We start from the raw sequence: 15,765 nt of genomic DNA on the forward strand, positions 1-15,765 counted from the left end.
GAGGCGGAGGTTGCAGTGAGCCGAGATCGCGCCATTGCACTCCAGCCTGGGTGACAGAGCAAGACTCCATCTCAAAAAACAAACAAAAAACAAAAACATGCTGAAAATTGCTGGTGAGTGATAAGGTCACATGGGAGGAGGCCTCTATTTTCCCTCCACGTTTGTGTGTTTGAAATGTTCTCTACTAGAAGGTTTGTAAAAATAGTATAGTGGAATGGGTCATGAAATAGCTTTGGTGGGGTCAGAACCAGCATCTTCTTAAATGAGATAGAATAAAATAGAACCATCTAAGTCCGGTGTGGTGACTCATGCCTGTAATCCCAGAACTTTGGAAGGCCAAGGCAGGAGGATCGTTTGAGGCCAGAAGTTCGAGACCTGCCTGGGCAACATAGCAAGACCCCCCCCACCCACCCCCCACATCTCTATAGACAATTTTAAAGATTAGTCGATCATGGTGGCGTGCACCTGTAGTCCCAGCTACTCAGGAGGCTGAGGTGGGAGGATGGCTTAAGCCCAGCAGGTTGGGGCTGCAGTGAGCTATGATCACAGCACTGCACTCCAGCCTGGGCCACATAGTGAGATCCCATCTATAATTTTTTTTTTTTAAAAAAGAACAGTCTAGAATAGAACACACCAGGATTCTTTCCATGTGATAATGTAAGCAATACTTTATAAACTTTTTTCAGGCGTGGGTGGGGAGGTAATGTGCTGAATGTAAAACGTACTTCTTACTGTATGATCCAAACAGCTGGAAAATCACTTCTTGTAGTTGGTTTGACCGTGGCCTCTGGAGCCAGGTTGCCTAGCTCTGGTTCTGTCAATTATTGGGTGTGTGACCTTGAACAAGTTACTAAACCTCTCTGTGCCTCAGCTCCTTCACCTTTAAAATGCCGTGAATAATCCTACCCTCATTACAGGATTGATATGGGGATGAAATAAGCTAATGGACATCAAGTGTTCTAAACATTGCTCCTAGCACATTCTAAGTGCTCCATAAATAGCAGCTATCACTATGGTGTTGGGAATTTGCTGGCCTGAAAAGGGAGGAAGAAGAGAAAGAAGAGAAAGGCAATGCTCAACCACAAAGAACACTGTCTCACAGTGGGGTCCCAGGCAGTGTGGCACTTCATTCATTCATGAACATTCATTCATTCACATTCATTCATTCATTCACATTCATTCACTCATTCATGATTATTCATTTCTTCATGGATATTCATTTGATCATTCATGAATATGTATTCCTTTATGAATATTCATTTGTCCATTCATGGCTATTCACTCATTCATTCATTCATTCAATAAGTCTTCTGGAATGCCCACTGTGTACTCCTCCCAAAACACTGGAGAGACAGTGATAAACAAGATGGCCTTGGTCTGTGCCCTCACGGCGCTCACCCTCTACCTGGGAAGATAAATTAAACAATTTATTATAATAAACATGTAATTATTGGAATGGGGAACTACAGAGGCAAGCTGGGCCATCCCCTAACAGCTAATTGATGTTTGCGACTCAGCCAAGAGAAAGACTAGGGTGAGGTTCGAATGTTTCGGTCAGAGGCGAGAGGGCCACTACGTGTGTGGGGAATGCCAGAAGCTCAGTATGACAAGGCCTGCTCTCTCCAGCAGGGGGCGCCACTGACCAGATGTGGCCATTTAAGCTGATTTTCATTTTATTTCATTTCTTTCTTTCTTTGTTTTCAGAGGCAGGATCTTGTTGTGTTGCCCAGGCTAGAGTGCAGTGGTGCAATCACCACTCACTGCGGCCTCAACTTCCTGGGCTCAAACAATCCTCCTGCCTCAGCCTCCTAAGTAGCAGGGACTACAGGTCCCCACCACCACACCCAGCTAACTTGGTTTTGTTGTTGTTGTTGTTGTTGTTGTTGTTGTTTTGTAGAGACAGGGTCTCGCTGTGTTCCCCAGGCTGCTCTCAAACTCCTGGGCTCAGGCTATCCTCCCATCTAGGCCTTGCAAAGTGCCAGGATTAAAGGCATGAGCCACCATACCCAGCCTAAATTTAAATCAGTGAAAAGTAAACAGAATTAAAAATTAAGTTCCTCAGTGCTCAAACGCCACACACCATTGCGCGATGCAAGCACAGAAGGCTTCCATCATCGAGGAAAGGTAAGCGTGGTCAGTGCCGGTCAAGAGGCCGAGCTGTGCCATCCAATGCCACAGCCACCAGCCACAGGCGGCTGCTGGGCACTTGAAATAGGCTAGTGCCACCAAGGAGCTGAATTTTAAATTTTATTTTATTTTAATTAGTTAAAATTAAAATTTAAACACGGATCTTTAATTCAGTCACTGGAAGACTTTTAATTATGTTTGGTACAACTCGAATATGTATATCTATTTTTTAAACTGTACATTTTACAAAATCTAAACACAGATCATGTTGAAATGCTCTATAAAAGGAAAGTACGCACACCAGACGGTGAAGACATAGAACAAAGAAAAAAAGAAGGTAAAATATGTTATTACTAAATGTTATATTGATTGCATAGTGAGATGATAATATTTTAGAAGGAGTGTACTAAAAATATATTATTAAAATGTGGGGCCTGGCGTGGTGGCTCATGCCTGTAATCCTAGCACTTTGGGAGGCCAAGGCAGGCAGATCACTTGAGGTCAGGAGGTCAAGACCAGCCTGGCCAACATGGTGGAAGTCCATCTCTACTAAAAATACAAAATTAGCTGGGTATGATGATGCAGGCCTGTAATCCCAGCTTCTCAGGAGGCTGAGGCAGGAAAATCGCTAGAGCCCAGGAGTTGGAGGTTGCAGTGAGCCAAGATCACACCACTGCACTCCAGACTGGGCAACAGAGTGAAGCTCCATCTCAAAAAAAAATTACATATGTGGCTCACATTATATTTCTATGGAACAGGATGGGACTAGGGCTTAGATGGGGAGGAAGAGGGCAGAAAGGGACATGGAGAGGTCTGGAATTCTCATAAACTCAATGGGGAGCTTGAACTTCTTCCTGGGTAATGGGGAGCCACAGCAGGTGTTGGAGCACGGCAATGACAGGGTCAGACGCTTATGCCTGGAAAGTATTTATGCCTGGATACTTATGCCTGGAAAGTCAGATACTTATGCCTCTGGCAGCTTTGGGGAGGATGGAGGGAGGAGGGAAGCCAGTTGGGAAACCATTGTCATCAAGCTCACCAGACAAGAGAGGGGCTTGGGTTAGGATGGTGGCCCCAACATCATTATCATCATTATTATTAAAGACAGGGTCTCACTCTATTGTCAGACTGGAGTACAGTGGTGTGACCATAGCTCACTGTAGCCCCCAACTCCTGGGTTCAAGCAGTCCTCCTGCCTCAGCCTCAGGTAGCTGGCACTACAGGTGCCAGGGATGGAAAAAGCTGCCTGTCTTTTAAGGAAATTTCATAGAAATTTCACCCAAAACTTCTGCTTTAATCTCATCAGCCACCCCTAGCCATATGGGGGACTGGAAAATATAGTTTAGTTGGGTCCATGGCTCTCCGGGACAAAATTAGGACCCTATCCTAGGGAGAGTGAATGATGAGTAAGCTCAGGCATGGCACAGTGGGTTCTGGGTAGGTGGCTCTGAGTCTTGGAGGGACCGACAGCCGAGACATGGACAGGTGCCACCTCAGAGAGCTCTGCTGTGGAGGTGAGAGGTGGCCGCAGCTCTCCTGAGCTGCTTACTGGCAAGGTGACCTCCTGGAGAGAGAGAGATCCTTTAGGGACAGGTGACACAGCAGGGTTCCCAGCACTGAGCTCTGAGATACAACATTAGAGAGAAAGTCAGGAAAAAGGAGGGAAACCCCGACTAGCGGGCAGAAGGGAAACCAGGAGAACACAGGGTTTTGGAGGGAAGGGCTGGGGCCCAGGACCTAGCACCCCTCCAAGCTCCAGGCAGGATGAGGCTGGAAGCTGTGTAGGACCAGCCTGGGCAACATAGTGAGACCCCTGTCTCTACAAACAAATTTTTGTAGAGATCACTCCCTGGCTTACAGGAGGTGATCAACACATATTTATTTTCTTTTCTTTTTTTTTCTTTCTTTCTTTTCTTTCTTTTTTTTTTTTTTTTTTTTTTTTTTTTGATATGGAGTCTCACTCTCTCACCCAGGCTGGAAAGCAATGGCACGATCCCAGCTCACTGCAACCTCCGCCTCCCGGGTTCAAGTGATTCTCCTGCCTCAGCCTCCTGAGTAGCTGGGATTACAGGCATGCACCACCACACCTGGCTGATTTTTGTATTTTTAGTAGAGATGGGGTTTCTTCATGTTGGCCAGGCTGATCTCAAACTCCTGACCTCAAGTAATCCACCTGCCTCAGCCTCCCAAAGTGCTGGGATTACAGGAGTGAGCCACTGCGCCTGGCCTATTTCTTGAATAAGGTGGATTCGGCCACGTGAACATTCTCGATATCTTTGTTAACAGCAATTTCCGAGGAGACAGGAGTGAAGAGGCCAGGTCCCATTGAGCAGTGGGCAGACAGGAAGGAGTCATTCTCTCCAGAAGTTTGCCTGGGGAGGCGAGGGGAAGTGGAAGGAGGAACAGTGCCCTACTCAGCCCTGAATTCCGGCACCCAACATCATCATCATCATTATTATTAGAGTCAGGGTCTCACTCTGTCATCCTGGCTGAAGTACAGTGGTGCAATCATAGCTCACTGTAGCCTCCGACTCCTGGGCTCAAGTGGTCCTCCCGCCTCAACCTCCCAAGTAGCTGGCACTACAGGTGTGTGTCACCAGGCCTGGCTAATTTTTCTTTAAATTTTTTGTAGAGACGAGGGTCTCGCTATGTCGCCCAGGCTGGTCTTGACCTCCTGGGCTCAAGCGATCCTCCTACCTCAGCTTCCCAAAGTGCTGGGAAAACAGCCACCACGCACCTGGCCCCTATCATCATCATCATCATCATTATTATCCCCAACATACAGATGAGAAAACTGAGGCCCAAAGAGGTAGAATGATTGTCCCAGATTTGCAGAAGGGACTGGAAGTTTGCGTCTGAGCCTGGCCCTCCAGCCATGGCCCAGCCCAGCCCAGCTCTGCTCCAACGCCGTCCCCAGCCCTACCCCCTCTTCCTCCTTCCCATCATCCTATTTTCTTTAATGAGCCAGCTCTTTGATAACTGCAGTGTGTTTTTTAGGAACTAAACAAACTGAAGCTGCAGGGTATTCTTTTTTTTAACAAAAGAGCTCATTGAATAAGCAATGGGTTTTTCTGCAACTATTTTTAAAGATGGAGCTGCAGGCTAGGCTGTGAGGAAAATCACAGAGAGTGCTCTCCTCAAGGTCAGGGCATTGAGGGAAAAATCCATTGTTGGTGAGGTGCCCCGTGGACAAATATTCCGCAGTCAGAAGACCCAGGCGGTGGACAAGGCTCCTGGGACAAGCTCTCCTTCCCTGGCTACCCCAGGACACTCAGGACAATGGTGTCCCTCCATCCTCTGCAGTGGCCCTAGCCCGGTCCCTTAGGCGGAGAGATTTTGTGATCCTTTAGCCTTGGTCCCCTCGTCCCTGGTATCCTCACCGGGAAGCGGTTGGCCACCGACCCTGCCCTCAAGGGGTTCCAAACTGGGGCCAATTTTCCTGGAAACAAAGCATTTCCACAACATCCCCACACCTAATTTCCAACCACTTCCAAGCATTATCTCTGGGGGAAACTGAGGCTCAAAGAGGTCAGTGTGGCTGCCTGTGGCCAAGCTGGGGCTCAGACCTGGGGCTCTCTCTGTCCCCATGGTGGTCCCAGCATTATCCACTGCAGGGAGCTACCTATTCCAATACAAATCTATGTTACAGCCGGGCGCAGTGGCTCACGCCTGTAATCCCAGCACTTTGGGAGACAGAGACGGGCGGATCACTTGAGGCCAGGAGGCTGAGACCAGCCTGGCCAACATGATGAAACTCCGTCTCTACTAGAAACACAAAAATTAGCCAGGTGTGGTGGCGCATGCCTGTAATCCCAGCTACACAGGAGGCTGAGGCACGGGAATCACTTGAACCCAGGAGGTGGAGGTTGCAATGAGCCAAGATCATGCCACTGCTCTCCAGCCTGGATAACAGAATAGTCTCTGTCTCAAAAAACAAAAACAACAACAAAAATAAAGATCTCTGTTCCAGGGGCACTAGAAGATTCTGGAACCTGGTGTGAAGGCATGCCTGAGCCATGCTGCCAACTTCATTTTTTTTTTGAGACGGAGTCTTGCTCTGTCTCCCAGGCTGAAGTGCAGTGGCATGCTCTCGGCTCACTGCAGCCTCCACCTCCCAGGTTCAAGCGATTCTCCTGCCTCAGCCTCCCGAGTAGCTGGGATTACAGGTGCACTTCACCATGTGCGGCTAATTTTTGTATTTTTAGTAGAGACAGAGTTTCACCATGTTGACCAGGCTGGTCTCGAACTCCTGGCCTCAAGTGATCTGCCCGCCTCTGCCTCCCAAAGTGCTGGGATTACAGGCGTGAGCCACCGTGCCCGGCCTCAACTGGATTTTTATTAAGAACTGGGTGGGGACATTTCTCTAGTTTTTATGTGCAAGTAGCCCCAGCTCTCTGGGCTCCGATTTCCCAACTGTAGATTGGGGTTGACAGTGGTCGTGTAGTTAATATTTTCTAAGTCCTCCCTATGCAGCACATGGCACAGGGTTCCCTAGGTGGGTGCTATTATTTCCCTCAATTGAGATAAGGAAAATGAGACTCAGAAAAGCCAGCTTATTTTCTGCTTATTTCTATCATGCAGCTTGCAAGGATTTGAGCCAGACAGGGTCTTGAACCCTCTGAGTTGGGCCCTAAACTCCTCCTGTTCCTCTGGAGTCTGGGCGCCCCCTGATGGTCACAGCAACTCCTGCGGCTCAGCTCCCATCTTCCTGGTCCAACCTCCACCTGGTCACTCTGGGATAGGTGGGCCTCGGGCAGGTCAGCTGTCAGAAAGTCTAAGAAGCACCTGCTGAGATGCCCAGGAGGGTGGTGATCCATCCAGCAGCCCAGGACCTCAAATCCCAGCTCTGCGGCCCCCAGCTCTGTGACCTCGGTGAGGTGCTCAGGTAGGAGGAATCACTGAGAGATTAATTTCTGTTTTGTTCTTGGTGCATTTTCCCCTTCCTGGTTCCAAGAACAGATCAGGTCTCCAGGTCTTTGCATGAGACCGTCTTTTGTTTCCTGGCTTTTATTGTGAATGCTGAACTAGTGGGGGATGACGCTGGGCTGTGTGGGGAGAGGGTGGCTGGGGGAGTCTAACCCTGTCTGTGTGTTGTAATAGACTTGGGGCTAAAATCGTGTGGTTTTGCTCCTTCGCACATGAAAGCATTTTCCCCACCAATTGTGGGGCCCTGTTTAGAGCCTCCGGTAGGGCCCACACATCCCAGGGAACAGGAGGGAAGGCTTCCTGCTGAGTCTCCTGAAATTTGAGCCCAGTCACTAACAACCATCTCTCAAGAGTGTCAAATAAAAATAAATCCAGGCTTAGTAAGGAGAGACTTTCTTCAAAAGGGCTATTGCAAAGGAGGAAAAGGTGCCGCGTGTGGAGGCTCATGCCTGTAATCCCAGTAATTTGGGAGGCCAAAACAGGAGGACCCCTTGAGCCCAAGAGTTCAAGACCAGCCTGGGCAACATAGGGCGACCCCCATCTCTACAAAAAAAAAAAAAGTTTAATTAGCCAGGTGCGATGGCACACACCTGTAGTCCTAGCTACTTGGAAGGCTGAAGCAGGCGGATCCCCTGAGCCTAAGAAGTTGAGGCTATAGTGGGCTATGATTGTGCCACTGTACTCCAGCCTGGTGACAGAGCAAGACCCCATCTCAAAAAAAAAAAAAAAAAAAGGAGGAAAGCATTTATTGCAAGAGAGACAACACTCTGATCTTAAAGTCTGCAAGCTGCTCAATAGTAAATTTTTTTTTTTTTTTGATACGGAGTCTCGCTCTGTCGCCCAGGCTGGAGTGCAGTGGTGCAATCTCGGCTCACTGCAAGCTCCACCTCCCGGGTTCACACCGTTCTCCTGCCTCAGCCTCCCTAGTAGCTGGGACTACAGGCACCCACCACCATGCCCGGCTAATTTTTTGTATTTTTAGTAGAGACGGGGTTTCACCGTGTTAGCCAGGATGGTCTCGATCTCCTGACCTTGTGATCCACACACCTCGGCCTCCCAGAGTGCTGGGATTACAGGCGTGAGCCACCGCGCCCAGCAAAAAAAATTGTTTTAATAGAAAGGAATAAACAAAGGCAGAATCGGGGGACCAGATGCCACTGTCGTTCATGCCTGTGAGCCCAGCATTTTGGGAGGCCAAGGGGGGAGGATGACTTGAGGCCAGGAGTTTGAGACCAGCCTGGGCAACATAGTGAGACCCCATCTCGACAGAAAATTTTAAAACTAGCTGGGCGTGGTGGTGCACGCCTGTGGTCCCAGCTACTTGGGAGGCTGAGGTGGGAGGATCACTTGAGCCCAGAAGTTGGGGGCTGCAGTGAGCTATGATCATGCCACTGCACTCCAGCCTGGGCAACAAAGCTAGATCTTGTCTCAAAAACAAAAACAAAACAAACAAACAAGCAAAGTGTGAAAGATGTAGCAAATGAGCTGGAGGGTAGCAGCTGGGATGATAATCCTTAAGTGTTTGGACCTGGGGCTCAATGTTATGGGGAATCCCTGAGGGTTTGGAGTGGGAGAGTGAGCTGACCCAGCGGCAGTTTGGAAAATAACGCTCCAGTGTGTGGCCCAGAGACACAAGCTGTGGTCTCTGCTTGAGAGAAGCACTTCCTGCTACACACCCCCAGTCTCCCCCAGGACCAAGCCTGCAGCAGCCCAGTGTCGGGTCAAATGCCCTTTGGGGACCTAGGAGTTGAGGACCTGGTTTCAGCAGGACAACCTTGTCTTAAAGGGAAGCCTGGCCATTGGGACCTTGCTCCCTGAGGCTTCCTCTCAGAAGAGCTTATAGCAACCCCGCCCCCCCACCCCGCCCCCAACACCCAGTGCTTGTTCCTAGGAGCACAAAGGTGCTTTGGAGGCAGCTGGAAGAAAATTAAAAGGCAGCAAAACCCAAACCCCACCAGAGAGGGTGTCTGCGCTGGGGACTGTTTGCTGATCACAGTCTCCAAAATGTTAACTCAACACACACTCTCTCGTGACTTTAAAATGCACCCAGCATTGAGCCAGGCACAGTGGCTCACACCTGTGATCCCAGCACTTTGGGAGGCTGTGGTTGAGGGTATCGTTTGGTTTCAGGAGTTTGAGGCCAGCCTGGGCAGCGCAGTGAGACTCTGTCTCTCCAAAAAAAATACATAAATGGGCCAGGCGCGGTGGCTCACGCCTGTAATCCCAGCACTTTGGGAGGCCGAGGCAGATGGATTACGAGGTCAGGAGATCGAGACCATCCTGGCTAACACGGTGAAACCCCATCTCTACTAAAAATATAAAAAATTAGCCAGGCGTGGTGGTGGGCACCTGTAGTCCCAGCTACTCAGGAGGCTGAGGCTGGAGAATGGCGTGAACCCGGGGGGCGGAGCTTGCAGTGAGCCGAGATCGCGCCACTGGACTCCAGCCTGGGCAACAGAGCGAGACTCCGTCTCAAAAAAAAAAAACAGAAATACAAAAACGAGCCTGGTGTGGTGGCTCACGCCTGTAATCCCAGCATTTTGGGAGGCTGCGGTGGAGAGATTGCTTGGTTTCAGGAGTTTGAGACCAGCCTGGGCAACACAGAGAGACCCCATCTCTATGAAAATACAAAAATTAGCCGGCATGGTCATGCATGCCTATAGTCCCAGCTACTGAGGAGGCTGAGGTGGGAGGATCCCTTGAGCCCATGGGGTTGAGGCTGCAGTGAGCCATGTTGGTGCTACTGCACTCCAGTCTGGTCAACAGAGTGAGACTCTGTCTCAGGAAAAGGAAGAAAGGAAGGAAAGTACCTATCATTCAGATGCCCCCACACACGTACACACACTCATGCACACACACATGATGCATACATGTACAGTGTGCAGTTTACAGAGAAGAGCAGACACAGGGGGATAGTAGAAGCGGGAGAAACAGGTGGACTGATCACGCCGTCCACAGTGGTGGCAGCCCCGGAATGAGCAGCTGTCCAGAGCCGAGGTGGCGACAGTGGCACCAAGTGGTTAATGCACCCGGGATCCCCAAAGGCCTCCCTGCTCTCCCCAGGATCTCATGCAGGGGTCCAGCTGGTGGCCTCTGCTCCCTCCCTCCTTCATCTCCCCACCACAACCCTGCTCCGGGGCCCTGAAGCAGCTGATCCCCATCATCTGATGGAAGGGAGTGGCAGCCGGGACTTGCACGCCTCTGAGCCACTGTCCCCAATGCCCAGCAGAAAACAGGTCAGAAAGATGCCTGCAGAGGGAGGAGTTCACTTAGGAGCTTCCCCTCCCCAGTGAGAAGCTCAGCTCGGGAGACTATAGGGCAAGGGTTGCTGTGGGTCACATGTAGAGCCGGTGAGAAGCTGGAAAATACAGCACAGTCTGGAGAGGGGGTCAGGGAGGAGGTGGGCAGCTCCCTCAGTCTCTCTTCACACCTCTTCCTATAGAATCTTCCATTCCCAGCTGGAAAATACAGCACAGTCTGGAAAGGGGGTCAGGGAGGAGGTGGGCCGCTCCCTCAGTCTCTCTTCACACTTCTTCCTATAGAATCAACAGCCCTAGGAGGTATGAAGTGGTGTCTCATTGTGGTTTGGATTTGCATTTCCTTAATGACCAATGACATCGTGCATCTTTCCATGGGCTTATTGGCCATTTGTATATTTTCTTTGGCTAGATGTCTATTCAAGTCCTTTGCCCATTTTTTTTTAAAGTGGGTTATCTTTTAATTGCTGAGTTGTGTGATTCATGATGGTCAACAAGCTGGGAAAAAATGGGCAGGTATCTAGGCTCTGCTGGGTCCCGAGGGCAGCGAGCTGTGGATGCCTCCACAATGTTTCCTGAATGAATGCCTAGAAAAACACACCAACGCACCCTTTCCCTCTTTTTCTCTCTCTCTCTCTTTTTTTTTAAAGACACAGGGTCTTGCTCTGCCACCTAGGCTGGAGTGCGGTGGTGTGATCCTAGGTCACTGCAGCCTCCAACTCCTGGGCTCAAGCAATCCTCCTACCTCAGCCTCCCTAGTAGTTGCGACTACAGGCACCCACCATCATGCCCAGCTAATTTTTTTAATTTTATTTTTTGTAGAGATGGGGTCTCGCTGTGCTGCCCAGGCTGTGTCTCACATTCCTGGCCTCAAACGATCCTCCCACTTTGGCCTCTCAAAGTGCTGAGATTACAGCGAGTTCCCTCTTTATCCACATGGTACAACATGAAAAAACAAAAGCTTGGACAGATTCAGTGGCTGGCCCAAGGTCACAGAGCCAGGCTGGAACACAGATCTCCATTTCCTCAACCCACAGTCAAACTATCTTGTGGCTGTAGCTGTTGACTCATGCTGACCTGTAGATTTCTCGGAAAAGCTATTGGGCAAGAAAAAGAAGAGGCAAAACAAAAGTGACCTCCTCTTCTGAAAAGATTTCTCAAGGGCCAGAGTCCCAGGAATGTCTTCTGTCCTGGAAGGGGCTGAAGGTTCTAGAAGTTGGTTGCCAGCTTGGCTGTTTCACCAATGTGAATGTGAGTATATGTGTGTGCGTACAGTGTGCCTGTGTGTTCATGCAGGTGTGTCGGCAGGTGCTGCAATGCCAGGACCCTGCCCATCCATGCCCCTCTGCCCGCCATGCCCCCCGGTGCACCTGGCAGAGGCTGGGAGCCTGCAGAAAGCATAGCCGGTCAGACACTGCCACCTGCTGGACATACTGGGCACAGCATGCAGATGGCTTGGGGCCCTGGCACTTCATCTCCTAGATCTTCTAAGGCCCCCAGAAAGTAGTGTCCTCCATCACCCCTCATTGCCTATGTGGGCCTCTCTAGAAAACACTTACAGGGTGTAATCTCAGCACTTTGGGAGGCCTGTAATCCCAGCACTTTGGGAGGCCAAGGCGGGCGGATCACCCTGAGCTCAGGAGTTCAAGACCAGCCTGGCTAACACAGTGAAACCCTGTCTCTACTAAAAATATAAAAATTAGCCGGGCATGGTGGCGGGTGCCTGTAATCCCAGCTACTTGGGAGGTTGAGGCAGGAGAATTTCTTGAACCCGGGAGGCAGAGGTTGTAGTGAGCTGAGATCGCGCCATTGCGCTCCAGCCTGGGTGACTGAGCAAGACTCCGTCTCAACAAATAAATAAATAAATATATATATATATATACACACACACACATACATACATACATATATATATATATAAAGGAAAACACCTACTGATGAAATTTTATATAAAGGAAAACACCTACTGATGAAATTTTTGGCACTATGAACCCCTTTAAGTCAAGTCAAGCCCTCTTCTCAGAATAATGTTTTCAAAAGCATAATATAAAATAGTGCTGGACACACTGGCTCACACCTATAATCCCAGCACTTCAGGAGGCTGAGGCAAGAGGATCACCTGAGGCCAGGAGTTCGAGACAAACCTGGGCAACACAGCAAGACCCCATCTTTACAAAAAAAATTTTTTTTAATTAGCCAGGTGTGGTGACTTATACCTGTGATCCTAGCACTTTGGGAGGCCAAGGCAGGAGGATCACTTGAGGCCAGGAGTTCAAGACCAGTCTGGGCAACACAGCAAGACCCCTATCTCTACAAAAACTTTCTTAAAAAATTAGCCACCTATAATCTCAGCACTTTGAGAGGCCAAGGCAGGAGGATTGCTTGAGGCCAAGAGTTTGAGACCAGCCTGGGCAACATAGCAAGACCCCGTCTCAACAGAAAATTTAAAAGTCAGCTGGGTGTGGCAATGGACACCTGTGGTACCAGCTACTTGGGAGGCTGAGGTGGGAGGATCGCTTGAGCCCAGGAGTTCGAGGCTGCAGTGAGCTGTGATCACACTACTGCACTCCAGCCTGGGGGACAGAGCAAGACCCTGTCTCTAAACAAATACATAAATAAAGATGTAATTTTTCCCATCCAAGTACCTCAATGCTCTCCATGGATCCCTTGGGGATTAGGGTAGCTCAGTTTAAGAGACTCTGACCCATTCCCTGCCTGATGACCCTGGAGCCTCCTCGGCCCGTTGGCCCACTACCACATGGGACCCAGCTTAGCTTGCTCCCTCAGCCCCTGCCACACTGTCTACAGCCCACCTGCTCTCCCAGCCTCCAGCCTCTGACCTTTCCTCCTCAACACAGAACAAGGCACCACTCTCAGAAGCCAGGCCAGTGGCTTTCTGCTCCAAGGATGGATAATTGCCCGATCTGATGTCCAAGAGGCCGCCATGCCAGAAGGGGCCCACACCGCAGTCCCTCTCTCCAGGATTCAGGGAGGGAGGCCCCTGCCTCCTGACACCTGGACATCACCACGTCTCACACCAGGGCTTCCGGGCCATTTGTCCTGACCTATGGGGTCTTCTGGACAGTCTGGACAGACATTGAGTTTGTTCCTTAGAGTCTTGTGTTCCCTCCCCTAATTCCAGTCATTGTGAGGTTACAACACAAGTGTGAGGAAGTAACCCTTTCTCCCTTCCTCACGCCATCCCTCTTTCCTTTCAACAATATTTAATGAACACCTGCTATGTGCTGGGTAGTATTCTGGGTGTTAGAAGTAGAAATAGTGAACAAAATAGGCAAAATCCTTTCTTTCTTCAAGTTTATATACCATGTAAGGCTCAGATTAAATAAATAAGTTAAGGCCAGCTGCAGTGGGTCATGCCTGTAATCCCAGCACTTTGGGAGGCCGAGGTAGGAGGATCCCTGGAGACCAAGGGTTCCAGACTAGCCTCAGCAACATAGCAAGACCCCATCTCTACGAAAAATTTTTGAAAATTAGCTGGGCATGGGGGTGGGCTCCTGCGGTCTCAGCTACTTGGGAGGCTGAGATGGGAGGATTGCTTGAGCCAGGGAGGCTGGGGCTGCAGTGAGCTATGATTACACCACTGCACTCCAGCCTGGGTGACAGAGTAAGACCCTGTCTCTATAAAAAAAAAAGTACAAATAAATTTTAAAATAAATAAATTAATAGTATGTTAGGCAAAGCGTGGTGGCTCATGCCTGTAATCCCAGCACTTTAGGAGGCCGAGGCGGGCAGATCACTTGAGACCAGCCTGGCCAACATGGCAAAACCCTGTCTCTACTAAAATTACAAAAAAATTAGCCAGGCCTGGTGGTGGGTGCCTGTAATTCCAGCCACTTGGGAGGCTGAGGCAGGAGAATCACTTGACTCTGAGAGGCAGAGGTTGCAGTGAGCCAAGATCGCACCACTGCACTCCAGCCTGGGCGACAGAGCAAGACTCCATCTCAAAAAAATAAATAAATAAATAAATAGTATGTTAGAAGGTGACATATGCCATGAGTATAAGGGCAGGTAGGAGAGGAGAGTGCCAAGTTGACCTCACAGATGAAGGTGATGTTTGAACAGCCGTGAAGGAGCAGAGAGGGAACCCCACACGTGTCCAGGAAACAGCATCCTGCCCGGCAAAGGGAACAACTCGGGAAAGACCCAGCCAGACAAGCAGCAGGGGCTGGGGGTGACAAGGTCACAGGCCAGGTTGGACAGGGATTTGGGAGGCCACCAGAAGGATTTGGGGTTTGCTCTGAGAAGGGAGACACTGAAGGGTTTGGGGCAGAGGAAGATGTGGTCTTGGAGCAGTTTTGTGGACAAACTTCTGGCTCAGTGAGGGGTGAGCAGGAGCTGCCAGGCATTATGAGAGCCCTGCCAGGGACCAGGGTGGTGGCAGCAGGGGAGGAGGGAGCAGCGGTCAGATTCTGGATCTCAGTTGAAGGATTTCTCACAGGATGGATATGAAATGTGAGAGACGGAGCTGCCGAAAATGACGTGGGGAAGTCTGTTTCCTGGGGCTGCCGAAACAAAGTACCACGAACTAGGTGGCTTAAAACAACAGCAACGGGACCAGGCGCGGTGGTTCACACCTGTAATCCCAGCACTTTGGGAGGCCGAGGCGGGTGGATCATGCGAGGTCAGGAGTTCAAGACCAGCCTTGCCAACATGGTGAAACCCCATCTCTACTAAAAATACAAAAATTAGCCGGGTGGGGTGGTGGGTGTCTGTAGTCTCAACTACTCAGGAGGCTGAGGCAGGAGAATCGCTTGAACCCGGGAGGCAGAGATTGTAGACAGCCGAGATCGTGCCACTGCACTCCAGCCTTGGAGCAAGACTCTGTCTCAACAAAACAAAACAAAAAACTCAGGGCTGGGTGCGGTGGCTCACGCCTGTAACCCCAACATTTTGGGAGGCCAAGGCAGGAGGATAACTTGAGCTCAGGAGTTTGAGACCAGCCTGGGCAAGATAGTGGAGCCTCATCTCTACAAAAAATAAGCAGAAAATTAGCCATGGATGGTGGCATGCACCTATAGTCCCAGCTACTCAGGAGGCTGAGGTGGGAGAATCACTTGAGCCCAGGAGGTCGAGGCTGCAGTGAGCTATGATCGTGCCACTGCACTCCAGCCTGGATGACAGAGAGACTCTGTCTAAAAGAAATAATAAGTAAATAAAAATAAATAAGGCCAGGTGTGGTGGCTCACACCTGTAATCCCAGCACTTTGGGAGGCCGAGGAGGGCAGATCACAAGGTCAGGAGATCAAGACCATCCTGGCCAAAGATGGTGAAACCCCATCTCTACTAAACATACAAAAATTAGCCGGGCATGGTGGCACGTGCTTGTAATCCCCGCTACTTGAGAGGCTGAGGCAGGAGAATTGCTTGAACTAGGGAGTCAGAGGTTGCAGTGAGCCGAGATCACGCCACCGCACTCCAGCCTGGCGACAGAGTG

At 50.0% G+C, this 15,765-nt stretch overlaps 1 annotated feature.

The window, feature by feature from the left end:
• Positions 11,624–11,673: an enhancer, noted in NCBI's record as "active region_26310". NCBI's record gives its function as "activates an Ori minimal core promoter by ATAC-STARR-seq in GM12878 lymphoblastoid cells {active_cell/tissue: GM12878}" and the evidence as "EXISTENCE:reporter gene assay evidence [ECO:0000049][PMID:35858748]".

This window comes from Homo sapiens, chromosome 7 (genome assembly GCF_000001405.40).
Source record: "Homo sapiens chromosome 7, GRCh38.p14 Primary Assembly".
NCBI lineage: Eukaryota > Metazoa > Chordata > Mammalia > Primates > Hominidae > Homo > Homo sapiens.